Genomic DNA, 13,641 nt, shown 5'->3' with positions numbered 1-13,641 from the left:
CTCCCAACACTGTGGCCTTGGGGAATAAGTTTCCAACACATGCTTCTTGAGAGAAGCATTCGAACCACAGCGCCCACCTTGTGAGTGACTCTGCCATGGCTCGCTATGGGCAGAGTGTGTGTCCCCAGCCTTCTGACTTGTTGCGACTTGTGACTTGCTTTGGGCAATGGAGTGTGAGCAGACATAACTTTGGCCATGTCCGGCTGAAGGCATTCAATGTGCGTGCATGGTTGAGCCCTGCGCCATGAGAAGGCTGTGCCCACATAGACGCTGTTCCCTCTGTCTGAACCTCAGAAGGGTAACACATGGAGTGGCCCTAACCCAACCCAATGCCTGAGGCAGAACCACCCAAGCAAACCATAGACCCAAGAGAATGGGTGGAAGCCACTGGAACTTAGGGGTGTTTGTTATGTAGCATTACCATAACAAGAGCTGACCAATGCATGAGGACTTCCACACATCTCACGCCCTCCTCTCCTCTGGCAGTTCTTTTCCTCCTGAACACACGTTATTCTCTAACATTCAGTATAGTCCCCTTATTTATCTTGTGTATGGTCTGCCTTCTCTACTAGAAGGTAAGCTCCATGAGGGCAGGAATTGTCATCTCTTTTGTTCACCACTGTATCCCCAGTGCTAAATGGGAAGAGGCATTGAACACAGATTGTTGAATGGATGGATGGATGGATGGATGGATGGATGGATGGATGAATGTGTTGGGTCTGAGACTAGAGCGAATTCCTAGGAGCAATGGGAACACTTACGCAGAGCTGTCCACCCAGGGCTGGAGACCGGGGCGGATGTGTCAGGAACACATCCAAGCAGAAACCCTAGGTGGCCACACTGACTCAGCAAATGAAGGTTCCCAGAGAACTTATCCCCTTCACCAGAGTGAACGCAGCTGCCTAGAATAGGTAGGGCTGGGTGACATTAATAAGGAGAGGGCAAACGTAAGATACTGTATGAATTACCCGAGATGCACACCAGGCCATCAGGATGCCAGGAACAGCTCTCTCCCATGCGTCTACTGTTCAAGCCACTTCCATGTGAGCGCCAGAGCAATTAGAAAGTAGCTATGTTTTTATTAAGCACCTACTGTGTGCCACACTAGCTGACTGGATACAGCTATAAAAAAGACAGTTCCTGACTTCAGGGGGCTACATTCCCATAGGAGAGACTGGCAAGCAGACAGACTGTGTGACAGGCAGGGAGGAACAGAGCCAATAAGATATATAAATATAGATATTAAGAAATACATATAGATATCGATATCAATAGTGGTGGCTGGCAAATCCAACATTGATAGATGAGCCAGCAGGCTGAAAACTCAGGAAGGAATTGGAGTTGCAGTTTTGAGGCAGAATTTCTTCTTCTCAGGAAACCTCATTTTTGCTCTTCAGGCCTTTGACTGTTTGAACAAGGCCCACCCATGTCATTCAGGATCACCTCCTTTACTCAAGGTGGACGGATTGTAGATGTTAATCGCACGCACAAAACACCTTCACAGCAACACTTTGCCTCATGTTTGAGTCCCTGGGGACTGGCACCTAATCAAGATAACATAAACTGACCGTGACGTGGCGGTGATGGTCGCAAACGGTGTGAATGTACTTAATGCCACAGAACTGTACACTTGGAAATGGTTAAAATGGCAACCTTTATGTTACATATATTTAACCACTTTTTTTTTTTGAGACAGAGTTTCACTCTGTTGCCCAAGCTGGAGTGCAGTGGTGTGATCGCAGCTCACTGCAACCTCCGCCTCCCAGATTCCAGCAATTCTTCCACCTCAGCCTCCTGAGTAGCTAGGATTACAGACGTGCACCACCATGCCCAGCTAATTTATTTATTTATTTATTTTGAGACGGAGTTTCACTCTGTCACCCAGGCTGGAGTGCAGTGGCACTGTCTCGGTTTACTGCAACCTCTGCCTCCCAGGTTCAAGCAATTCTCCTGCCTCAGCCTCCCAAGTAGCTGGGACTACAGGCGTGTGCCAACACGCCCAGCTAATTTTTGTATTTTTAGTAGAGACAGGGTTTTGCCATGTTGCCTAGGCTGTTCTCAAACTCCTGACCTCAGGTGATCCACCTGCCTTGGCTTCCCAAAGTGCTGGGATTACAGGCACGCGCCACCACACCCAGCTAATTTTTGTATTTTTGGTAGAGATGTAGTTTTGCCATGTTGCCCAGGCTGGTCTCAAACTCCTGACCTCAAGCGATCCACCCCCCCTTAGCCTCTCGAAGTGCTGGGATTACAGGCATGGACCTCTGCACCCAGCCTAACCACAATTTTTTAAACGTTTGATGAAGGTGAACATTGATGCCTGAACACCCAGGAGGTGTAACCAACTTCACCTGGAACCCAGAAACACCCCTCCCACCACCAAAACGCAGGTGAGAGCTGTGGCCAAAATAGGCTCCAACTAGTAGGACTGTGTCTGGAAGCAGCGCTGAGCCGTGGGAGCACCGTCACATGTGGCACGTTCCCACGCTCGGCCCCCAGCGTGCTCCTGGCTGGCTCTCAAGCCTGGCAGCAAGAGAATCATACAGGACCATTTCCAGTTCTCATCCCCATTGATTGTAATTGTTGGCTGTGGTGGGCAGAATAATGACCCCGACCCCAAGATGTCCATGTCCCCGTCCCCAGCACCCATGAATGTGCACATTACTCTGCAAAAGGCAGCTGGAGATGGGATTAAGTGAGGGATCACGAGCTGGGGAGATGCTTCTGGATACCCAGGTGGCCCTGACGTCACCACAGGGGTCCTTACAGGAAAGCAGGGAAGGAGGGTGGCAGGAGGGTTGGTGAAGGAGCTGCGGGCGCGAACAGTCACACCTGTGCCATATGCAGGGCCTTGAGTTATGACAGAACAGGGCGGCCTCTAAAAGCTGGAAGAGGCAAGGAGGTGGATTCTCTCCTAGAGGCTTCAGAAGCAACGCAGGCCAGCTGGCACTTTGATTATCGCCCAGCGGGACCCACTTCAGGCTTCTGACTTCCACTGCAAGATGACCAAGTCGTTCTGTTCCTTGCGGCAGCCACAGGGACGTGCGCACGGCTGGAAACGGCGCGGCACTCGTTGAGACCCCTGCTGCTGCTCCATACATTCGTCCTGACGTCCTGGGAAAGGACCTTTTTTTTTTTTTTTTTTTTTTTTTTTTGCGACAGGGTCTCACTCTGTTGCCCAGGCTGGAGTGCAGTGGTGCTATCACAGTTCACTGCAGCCTTAACCTCCTGGGCCCAAGTGATCCTCCCATTTCAGCCTCTGGAGTAGCTAGACCACAGGCGCACTTGGCTAATTTTTATTTATTTTTTGTAGAGATGGGGTCTTGCTATGTTGCCCAGGCTGTTCTCAAACTCCTGGCCTCAAGCAGTCCTCTGGCCTCAGCCTCCCAAAGTGCTGGGATTACAGGTATGAGACACCTTGCCCAGCCAGACCTTGGCCACATAAAGAGCTCTGTCCCCAAAACTGCACACAGTACATAGTCAAGAGGGGTCTGCACCTGCCTCCCAGGGATATATCGGCCAGAAGGCAGACTAATCAGGAGAAGCACAGAATGAAGTGACACTGTTTAAACTGGTGCCAAAATCACAGGTGAAGCCAGTGCATCCTGGCATGGCCTGGTGGACACCTCATGGTTCTGTTCTGTTTAATTCCATGATCATCTCATTGTACCGGGCCCTGGGACACAGAGAGGGGGTCAGTGGCACAGTGCCTGCCCTAAAGGCCTTCTGAGTTTTACAGAGCTGGAAGGGCCGACCTGAGGCTGGCCCAGCAGGCAACAGGAGGATCCGCCCGGGAGCCAGGAGCTGCCTAGAATGCCAGACATAGCACTGGCTACTCACAGGCCTTCGCCTGCCAAGGGGACTACAGTCACTGCCGCTGGCCCCCACGTGCATTAGGATTTGTTGTTAAATCCTGTGGGGAAAAGCAAGAAAGATCAGATTGTTACTGTGTCTGTGTAGAAAGAAGTAGACATAGGAGACTCCATTTTGTTATGTACTAAGAAAAATTCTTCTGCCTTGAGATTCTGTGACCTTACCCCCAACCCCGTGCTCTCTGAAACATGTGCTGTGTCAACTCAGAGTTGAATGGATTAAGGGCGGTGCCAGATGTGCTTTGTTAAACAGATGCTTGAAGGCAGCATGCTCCTTAAGAGTCATCACCACTCCCTAATCTCAAGTACCCAGGGACACAAAAACTGCGGAAGGCCGCAGGGACCTCTGCCTAGGAAAGCCAGGTATTGTCCAAGGTTTCTCCCCATGTGATAGTCTGAGATATGGCCTCGTGGGAAGGGAAAGACCTGACCGTCCCCCAGCCCGACACCCATAAAGGGTCTGTGCTGAGGAGGATTAGTAAAAGAGGAAGGAACGCCTCTTGCAGTTGAGACAAGAGGAAGGCATCTGTCTCCTGCCCGTCCCTGGGCAATGGAATGTCTCGGTATAAAACCCGATTGTATGCTCCATCTACTGAGATAGGGAAAAACCGCCTTAGGGCTGGAGGTGGGACCTGCGGGCAGCAATACTGCTTTGTAAAGCATTGAGATGTTTATGTGTATGCATATCTAAAAGCACAGCACTTAATCCTTTACCTTGTCTATGATGCAAAGACCTTTGTTCACGTGTTTGTCTGCTGACCCTCTCCCCACAATTGTCTTGTGACCCTGACACATCCCCCTCTTCGAGAAACACCCACAAATGATGAATAAATACTAAGGGAACTCAGAGGCTGGCGGGATCCTCCATATGCTGAACGCTGGTTCCCCGGGTCCCCTTATTTCTTTCTCTATACTTTGTCTCTGTGTCTTTTTCTTTTCCAAATCTCTCGTCCCACCTTACGAGAAACACCCACAGGTGTGGAGGGGCAACCCATCCCTACAAATCCCAGGGGCAAGAAGAAACCACTGGGAAGCAGAGGGACAAAGAGGGGTCGGTATCACTAAATCCAAGGGACATGGTGCTTTTTTTAAAGTATTTTTCGAACTATGGTGAAACATGTATAACGTAAAATTTACCATCATGACCATTTTTAAGTGCACAGTTCAGTGGCATCAAGTACATTCCAGTCTTGTGCAACCATCCCTGACATCCAGCCACAGAACTCTTCATCGTGCAAAGCAAACTCTGTCCCCGTTCAACACTCCGCCCCCGTTCCCCATCCCCCAGCCCCGGTGCCACCATTCTGCTTTCTGTCTCTGTGAATCTGACTCCTCCAGGGCCTCATCAAAGGGGAGGTCACCGTACTTGTGCGTCTGTGACTGGCCTCTTTGACTCAGCCTAATGTCCTCATTCCTGTCTAGCCTGCATCAGAATTCCCTTCCTTTCGACGGCTGAATGATAGTCTCCCGTGGGAATAGACCACATCTAGGGAACCCTTCTTGAGGGCCTGCTGGGAAGTGGAGGTAGCCCAGAACTGACAGGCCCAGGTTCGGCCCTCAAGGAGCTCACAGGACAGGGAAAGCGCCCTGGAGATGCGGCGAGGAAGCCACACCTGCACGGCCACACTCCTGCCTCACCCACAGCCAAGGCTGGTGTTTTTGCTCCAACCCTGGCCAGCCAAGTTCTTGCCCCACCAGGGCCTCTGGGTGAGCTGCAGCAGGAAGAACATGGATAAAACTAATCATCAGCTGGGCGCGGTGGCTCATGCCTGTAATCCCAGCACTTTGGGAGGCCAAGGCGGGTGGATCACTTGAGGTCAGGAGTTCGAGACCAGCCTGGCCAACACAGCGAAACCCTGTCTCTACTAAAAATACAAAAATTAGCCAGGCATGGTGGTGCATGCCTGTAATCCCAGCTACTCAAGAGGCTGAGGCAGGAGAATCGCTTGAACCTGAGAGGTGGAGGTTGCAGTTGAGCTGAGATCGTGCCACTGCTCTCCAGCCTGGGTGACAGAGGGAGACTCCTTCTCAAAAAAAAAAACAAAACTAACCATCAATGCCTGGACCTGCCTCCCTCCTTCTGGGAGCTGAGCGACACTGCACAGCTGGCAAGAGGTACAAACGGACACAAGCAGCCGCCTCATGAGGGGCCCGGGACATCTCCACATGTGCTTGTTACAAACAACATCGCACGCGTCTCTGAGAGCATTTCCCTAAGTCAAGTTCCCAGAAGTGAAATTCCTGAATCAAATAATCAAACATCAGTCGCAATGAGAACCACAGCTCCTTCCTCACCCTCCCTATGAATTTGTAAAAGCAGATATGAAATGAACAAGTAGAACGCTCACATCCTCTCGCTCCCCTTGGGAAAAATGTACACGTGAATTTTCCTAAATGCAGTTAGATAAGCATGAAACTTCACACACAGAAACCGATGAGATGATCTTCTACGCTTTTGTGGATTTATTCAAAATGTTGCTTCTCTATTAGAAAGAAAAAAGAAAAGCCCAAGGTGCCCCACGGCACAGAACTGCTGCCTCCCTCCTGCTTCCCTCCTGCTTCCACAGCTCCCCTGGTGACACGGCCAGGTTCTAGGGGCTGGCCAGCCCTTGTCTTTAACCCTCTCAGGACACAGATTCCGGAACAAACAAAGCACTTCTCACCTGTAACTTGAGCATCTCAAAACCCAAGGGCTGGCTGGACATGGTGGTTCACACCTGTGACCCCAACACTTTGGGAGGCCAAGGGAGGAGGATCGTTTGAAAGCTGGAGGTCAAGGCTGCAGTAAGTCAAGATGGCGCCACTGCACTCCAACCTGGGTATATTAGTCCGTTTTCATGCTTCAGATAAAGACATACTCAAGACTGGGAAGAAAAAGAGGTTTAATGGGCTCACTGGGGAGGCCTCACAATCATGACAGAAGGCACATCTCACACGGCAGCTGCAAGAGAGAATGCGGAAAGCTCTTCTAAAACCATCAGATCTCATGAGACTTATTCACTACCACAAGAACAGTACAGGGGAAACCACCCCTATGATTCAATTATCTCCCACTGGGTCCCTCCCACAACATGTGGGAATTATGGGAGTACAATTCAAGATGAGATTTGGGGCTGGGCACGGTGGCTCACACCTATAATCCCAGCACTTTGGGAGGCCGAAGTGGGTGGATCACCTGAGGTCAGGAGTTCAAGACCAGCCTGGCCAACATGATGAAACCCCATCTCTATTAAAAATACAAAAAAAATTATCCAGACATGGTGGTCTGCGCCCTTAATCCCAGCTACTCGGGAGGCTGAAGCAGGGGAATCGCTTGAACCCTGGAAGTGGAGGTTGCGGTGAGCCGAGATTGCACCACTGCACTCCAGCCTGGGCAACAAGAGCGAAACTCCGTCTCAAAAAAAAAAAAAATAAAAGATGAGATTTGGGTGGGGACACAGCCAGACCATATCACTGGGTGACATAATGAGACCCTGCCTCTAAAAATAAAAATAAAAATAAATTTTTTAAAAACCACAAGGGCTGATTGCCAAGGTCTGGGAGCCCCAGGGGGCTGGCCATGGTTGCGGGAGTTCACAAGAGAGCAGGGTCTTCACTGCTCCAGGCCACCTTATAGCGGGTGTTCCCACATCAGTATCTGTGCACGTTGGTGAGTTTGGGCACGGAAATTCAACAGAGCGCCGCCTCATTCACATTTGCGTCCCCAAGGACTGGCGCACAGAAGGGTTCAGGAAATCCATTTGTGCACGGGCGGGTGTTTTTTTGATTTCCTTGTTCCATGAGACCTGGACAAAAAGGAATAGAAAGTTCTAGCCAGGTGGGCACCAGCAGGCCGTCACCTGGAGTCCAATCTGGGAGTGTCAATCTGTTTTTCCCACCTGCCCCCCACTCTGCCCACCCTTAGGGGTTGTTTGACCAGGGCCACCAGCACCTTACACCTAGCGGACACCCCAGGGCCTTCCAGAACCCTAAGCTCATGGCATCTTTGTGTTTCTAACTTGGAAGTCCACCAGCTCCTGCCATCCCAGAACAGGCTGTTTCCTTGGAGTTCATGCAGAGAACCTCAGAGCTGGGAGGAGGCGAGAGCCCCAGACCACACGTGACCAAGGTCCGACCGCGAGACTGTCAGGGACGGCGACTCTTTGTCCACCGCCCATGCTCTGCTCTTTCTGTGCTCCTACCCAGAGTTTTCGTTCCTCTGAGCCTCAGTTTCCCCAACTATAAAATGGAGATGAAGGCAATGACCGTTCCCCTAAACAGCACCACAGCTGCCAGAGGCAGGATGGTCAGCTCCATGGCCTACAGAGGAGGAAGCTGAGGAAAGACCGACCGAGGAACTGGACCTCTGAGGGCTCAAAGTTGTGCATGGCCTGGGGTGGCTCTGGGAGCCGGAGGGAGGCAGCTGGCTCCATTCTGGCCCCTGATCCATGGGACATCCTCCCCTTGATGAACCGGCATGCAGACCGGCCACCTCCACCCAGTCACCCTGACACAAACGCCCACAGCCTCTTCCAGCCCCTACTGAGAACCTATGTAAACGGTCTCAGAGAAACCACGGCCCCGAAACTTCCACAAAGCTACTGGCATAGCGGCTCTCTCAAGCCACTGCCCACACCACCAGCTCATTCTACCTGGCTCACCAAGGACCTGCATTGGGTGGAACTGTGTCCCCCAAAGCGATGTCTTCAAGTCCTAACCTCAAAACCTACGGATGTGATCTTATTTGGAAGTGGGGTCTTTGCAGATGTAATGAGGCTAAGATGAGGTCACACTGGAGAAGGTGGGCCCTCATCTAATGACTGGCGACCCTGTAAGAAGAGAGAAATTTGGACGCACACACACAGAGAGGTCGTGTAAACACGGAGGCAGAGGTAGGAGTGAGGCTGCCACAGATCAGAGTTCCAAGGCTTCCGGCACCCACCAGCAGCTGGCAGAAGCGAGGAAGGGAACTCTCCTAGAATCTCAGAGGGGGCGCGGCTCCACCCACACCTGGAGTTCAGACTTCTGGCCTCCAGAGCCACGACAGAGCACATGTCTATGGTTTAAGCCCCTCATTTTGTGGTACTTTGTTGGGCTGCCCCGGAACACTGATGCAAGCCTGGATTCGTCCATTTTCCCACTGCTATAAAGAACTTCTGGCTGGGTGCGGTGGCTCACGCCTGTAATCCCAGCACTTTGGGAGGCCGAGGTGGGTGGATCACCTGATGTCAGGAGTTCGAGACCATCATGGCCAACATGGTGAAACCCCATCTCTACCAAAAATACAAAAATTAGCTGGCAGTGGTGGCAGGCACCTGTAATCCCAGCTACTCGGGAGACTGAGGCACGAGAATCGCTTGAACCCAGGAGGCGCAGGTTGCAGTGAGCCGAGATGGTGCCACTGCACTCCAGCCTGGGTGACAGAGCAAGACTCTGTCTGAAAAAAAAAAAAAAAAACTTACTTGAGACTGGGTGATTTCTAAAGGAAAGAGTTTTCATTGACTCAGAGTTCTGCATGGCTGGGGAGGCCTCAGGAAACTTACAGTCATGGCTGAAGGGGAAGCAGGCACCTTCTTCACATGGTGGCAGGAGAGAGAGAGCAAGAGCAAGCGAAGGGGGAAGAGCCCCTTATAAAACCATCAGATCCCATGAGAACTCACTAGCTATCATGAGAACAGCATGGAGGAAACCGCCTCATGATCCAATCGCCTCCCTCCTTCAACACCTGGGGATTACAATTCGAGGTGAGATTTGGGTGGGGACACAGCCTCACCACATCATAGCCATTCTGCCCTCCCTGCCCTGCCCTGCCCTGCCTCCAGGTCTGCCTCCAGACCTGGAGTGTTTCTGAGAGTGGACCCAGCACAGGGAGGAGGTGGCTCAGGACACTCAACTCCTGGTCCAGCTCCCACTCATAGCTGGGGTCCTGGCCGGTGACTCCATCTCCCTTTCTGCTGTCTCCCTGTCTATAAGACAAGGGGCTGGGCCAGCCATCTCAAGGTCCCCTCCAGTTCCATCTTCCCAGGGCTGAGCAGGTCCTGGGCCTTGGCGTCACAGAGCCCAGCTCACAGGCCCACCCGGGAGAGGTATCGGGATGTGTCTTTGCCACATCATAAGTTAGGCAGAAAGATGTGTGGGACGTGGCCCTGCCCCCGGTCAGGACGGTGGACACATGCAAACGCCGCACAGACGCACCCTGCCCTGACACCGCCCGGAGCACCTGGGTGGCTTCCTGAATGGCGAGGCATGGTGGGCACTCATGGGCCTGCCGTGCACCCCACCTGCAGGGCACGTGCCCAGCAGACAGCAAGGGCTGAATGACAGGTGACAGGACGGCCGCCAGGCAGGCGAAGGTGGGGCCAAAGGCAAGGGTGGCTGCTCGGCTGCAGGGCACGGACACTCAGCCTCTATTTCCTCCTGGGGTGGCGAGGGGGGGCGAGGGAGGGGCGAGGGAGGGGCGAGGGGGGGCGAGGGAGGGGTGAGGGAGGGGTGAGGGACGGTCAGACCGGATGTGGCTGTGCTTCAGACCGCGCGGGAAGTCCTGGGATGGCGTGGAGCCCGCTTCAGCTGAAGGGACAGAGGGAGAGGCAGGGGCCAGACAGCGCCAACCACCTGAGACCCAGGCAAGAGACAGTATGGTGGGTGGGGGTACTGCCCAGTAAGGGCTGGGGGAGAGGACTGAGGAAACCCTCCCTCCATCAACGTGCCTGGGAGCCCTGCCAGGTGAGAGCCCTGTTGTTCCTGGATGACTGTGGACCGCTCACTCCGGCCCCTCAGCCCCTACCCAGCCTGCCCCCAGGAGCAGCACGGCTGGGCACCAGCATCTCTCCAGCTGGCAGTTGCCCCACTGGGATCCCCCAAATGCCCTGCAAGCCAAGGTGTGCAAGCCCTGCACACTGAGGGCTGGAGGGCAGCCCCCGTGCTGTGTTCCAGATGGAGGGAGGGGTGGGGAGGGGGGAGCTACACTGGGGAGGGCTGCGCCGGTCACTGCCGAGGAGGGAAAGCCTCAACATCACCCCTCTTACCCCCCATCTCCCGCAGCCTCCCAGCAAGGTTGTGGCCCGCAGCGGACGCTCCCCACGAGGTAGAGCCCCGTTTCCACACCTGGAGCAGCTGCACCTGGAGGTGGGGCTCATCTCCAGACCTGGAGCAGCTGCCTGCCCCAGGGCAGAAGCCACTGCCCGCAGCTAGGTGAGGCCATGTGCCCAGTCCTGGTCAATGGACTGAGCATGAGGGGATGTGTGCCCAGCAGCAGGGACTACTGTGCACTGAAGGCCAGGGCCGCTGGATTGGGACAAATAAATACAGCAGGTCCTCAAATCCCATCGTTTCATTCTAGGGAGCATTGAGGAGGTCTCCCCAGGTCCGCGCGGGTTTTCTCCAGGTCCTCCAGTTTCCTCCCACATCCCAAGTATACACCTCAGCCTCACGGCATGTCTACATGGGCCTAGTCCGAGTGAGTGTGGGTGTCCCATGGAGGCCTGTCCTATCCAGGGCGGGTGCCCACCTTGGCACTGAGCCTCCAGGATGGGCCCTGGTCACCTGCCACTCTGAACTGGAGAAAGCAAGTTGGAAAATGAATGAATACATGAATATAAATTATCAAATAAAAATTATAAAGCCTACGGTAATCACACAAACGCATGACAACAAACGCCGCGTGTGAGGGTGCTCAAGGAGCCGCCATACTCACGGTCGCTTGTCTTTCAGCTGTGCGGTGGGAGGAGGTGCTCCCAAGAGCGTGTGCTTTGCAGACATTGATTCCGTGATTTCACCACCACCACTACCACCGCCGTCACTCACAGACATCCCAAATATTGGGTAGATCATGATCTCACTTGTTTGTATTAATCTTCCTTATGTAGGTGTAGCTACCTCTACATGTAGGGATAGTTTACATTTATTTCAATGTTTAATATTAGAAGTGTTTGGGTCTTTAGAAATTTGGTGGTGTTTTTTGTTTTTTTGTGGGGTTTTTTTGGAAATAGGGTTTTGTTCCGTCGCCCAGGCTGGAGTGTGGTGGTGTGATCACAGCTCACCGCAACCTTAGCCTCTGAGGCTCAAGCAATCCTCCCACCTCAGCCTCCTAAGTAGCTGGGACCACAGGCACACACCACCTTTCCTGGCTAATTTGGGGGGCATTTTTTGTAGAGATGGGGTTTCATCATGTCGCCCAGGCTGGTTTTGAACTCCTTGCCTCAAGAGATCTGCCACCTCAGCCTCCCGAAGTGCTGGGATTACAGGTGTGAGCCACCACACCTGTTCTGGTGATGTTTTGAGAGCAGAAATATGCCTCTTTTTTTTTTTTGAGACAGAGTTTCACACTTATTGCCCAGGCTGGAGTGCGGTGGCGTGATCTCGGCTCACTGCAACCTCCACCTCCCAGGTTCAAGCGATTCTCCTGCCTCAGCCTCCCGAGTAGCTGGGATTACAGGCATGCACCACCACACCCAGCTACTTTTGTATTTTTAGTATTTCTCCATGTTGGTCAGGCTGGTCTTGAACTCCCAACCTCAGGTGATCTGCCCGCTTTGGCCTTCCAAAGTGCTGGGATTACTGGTGTGAGCCACCGCACCCAGCCTATGACATAGGAATTTAACTCTTGTTTATATCAACTAGCCTATGGTAAAATTGGTTTCATTATATGTTGTCTTGCTTAAAGTCACAGTTTCCAGGAAGCTGTGATGAAATTGAGGACTTACTGTATGCCATTATCTGTTTAAAAGAAATGATAAGTACCAACCCATGGCCCCTGTTTCCATGGGACCTAAGATGAAATGCCCAAGGTAAAGGCGATGGCTTCCATCTCCCAGTCCCCCGAGCCTGTCTGAGCTCCAATACTGGTTCTCTGTCCTGTGCCGTACCCCTTGGGAGACACTGACTTTCTCCCCCCAATCCAGTGGTCCCAAATAATCACCTCTGTAGTTGCAGAAGTGGAGAAGTGGACTGAGCCTTCACATTGCCTGAAAGATGGGGAACTCCGCCCTCTAGTGTCCGTCAGCACAGCAAGTGGGACACTTCCATTTCCAAAGTGGAAAGACGGTGCCTTTAAAGATGTAACCCCAACGGAGGTCAAGGTCTGAAAGGGGCACATTCTTTCCATGACTCTAGCCTGATAAAGACACCCACAACCCTCCCGCCACTTGCAAGATTTGATCCGAAACCAGCTTCTAACAGCTGCCAAACTAAAATGCCTTAGAGACATGGGGTAACCAAATTACAAACGCACGTTCCATTTGATGCAGCCATGCCACCTCTAGAACTGTATGCTGCAAATACAGAGTCGCACATGTGCAGTCACCTGTGCACAAGATTACTGTTGCAGCTGTTGGTGTTAGTGAAAAACGGACACTCCCTAAATGTGCACCGTAGAGAGTAGGTGTACCAGCCTCTGCTGCGTGGAACAGCCTGCAGTGGTTGAAAAATGAGGAAATCTGCACATTCATGTTCACAGCAGCGTCATTCACAACAGCCAAGAGGTGGAAACAACCCAGGCGTCCACCAACAGGTCAACAGATAAACACAATGTGGTCTGTACATGCAGTGAAATATTATTCACCTTTAGAAAGGAAGGCGTTTTGACACATGCTACCACATGGATGAACCTTGAAGACAATATGCTCAGTAAAACAAAGCAGTCACAGGCCGGGCGCAGTGGCTCACGCCTGTAATCCGAGTTTGGGACCAGCCTGACCAACATGGTGAAACCCTGTTTCTATTAAAAATACAAACAAAAAAAAATTGCTGGGAGTGGTGGCACACACCTGTAATCCCAGCTACTCGGGAGGCT

The 13,641-nt window shown here is 52.5% G+C and overlaps 2 long non-coding RNA genes across 3 annotated transcripts in view, besides 4 other annotated features; one reads left to right on the top strand and one right to left on the bottom strand.

Moving 5' to 3' along the window:
- Positions 1 to 1,059: 1,059 nt before the first annotated feature.
- The window catches only part of LOC101928369 (uncharacterized), a 43,255-nt gene continuing 30,673 nt past the window's right edge, over positions 1,060 to 13,641 (bottom strand). For both annotated transcript variants that reach the window (XR_937768.3, XR_937770.3), the window contains one exon: positions 1,060 to 7,657. This is a non-coding gene — a long non-coding RNA (uncharacterized LOC101928369). The remainder of the gene's footprint in view (positions 7,658 to 13,641) is intronic.
- Positions 3,158 to 3,325: a silencer, noted in NCBI's record as "fragment chr21:44568789-44568956 (GRCh37/hg19 assembly coordinates)". NCBI's record gives its function as "represses an EF-1alpha promoter that drives an FKBP-Casp9 reporter gene in an ReSE screen in HepG2 liver carcinoma cells {active_cell/tissue: HepG2}" and the evidence as "EXISTENCE:reporter gene assay evidence [ECO:0000049][PMID:32094911]".
- Positions 3,568 to 4,115: an enhancer, noted in NCBI's record as "NANOG-H3K27ac-H3K4me1 hESC enhancer chr21:44567999-44568546 (GRCh37/hg19 assembly coordinates)". NCBI's record gives its function as "activates a minimal SCP1, AML or CMV promoter by ChIP-STARR-seq in naive H9 embryonic stem cells {active_cell/tissue: H9 hESC(naive)}" and the evidence as "EXISTENCE:reporter gene assay evidence [ECO:0000049][PMID:30033119]".
- Positions 9,446 to 9,981: an enhancer, noted in NCBI's record as "H3K4me1 hESC enhancer chr21:44562133-44562668 (GRCh37/hg19 assembly coordinates)". NCBI's record gives its function as "activates a minimal SCP1, AML or CMV promoter by ChIP-STARR-seq in naive H9 embryonic stem cells {active_cell/tissue: H9 hESC(naive)}" and the evidence as "EXISTENCE:reporter gene assay evidence [ECO:0000049][PMID:30033119]".
- Positions 9,982 to 10,519: an enhancer, noted in NCBI's record as "H3K4me1 hESC enhancer chr21:44561595-44562132 (GRCh37/hg19 assembly coordinates)". NCBI's record gives its function as "activates a minimal SCP1, AML or CMV promoter by ChIP-STARR-seq in naive H9 embryonic stem cells {active_cell/tissue: H9 hESC(naive)}" and the evidence as "EXISTENCE:reporter gene assay evidence [ECO:0000049][PMID:30033119]".
- FRGCA (FOXM1-regulated, gastric cancer associated) lies at positions 10,912 to 11,481 on the top strand. The gene is made up of 2 exons (NR_133677.1): positions 10,912 to 11,042; positions 11,191 to 11,481. It is a non-coding gene; the product is annotated as an FOXM1-regulated, gastric cancer associated (long non-coding RNA).

Source organism: Homo sapiens, chromosome 21 (genome assembly GCF_000001405.40).
Source record: "Homo sapiens chromosome 21, GRCh38.p14 Primary Assembly".
NCBI lineage: Eukaryota > Metazoa > Chordata > Mammalia > Primates > Hominidae > Homo > Homo sapiens.
This window is presented reverse-complemented; position numbering and strand designations above follow the sequence as displayed.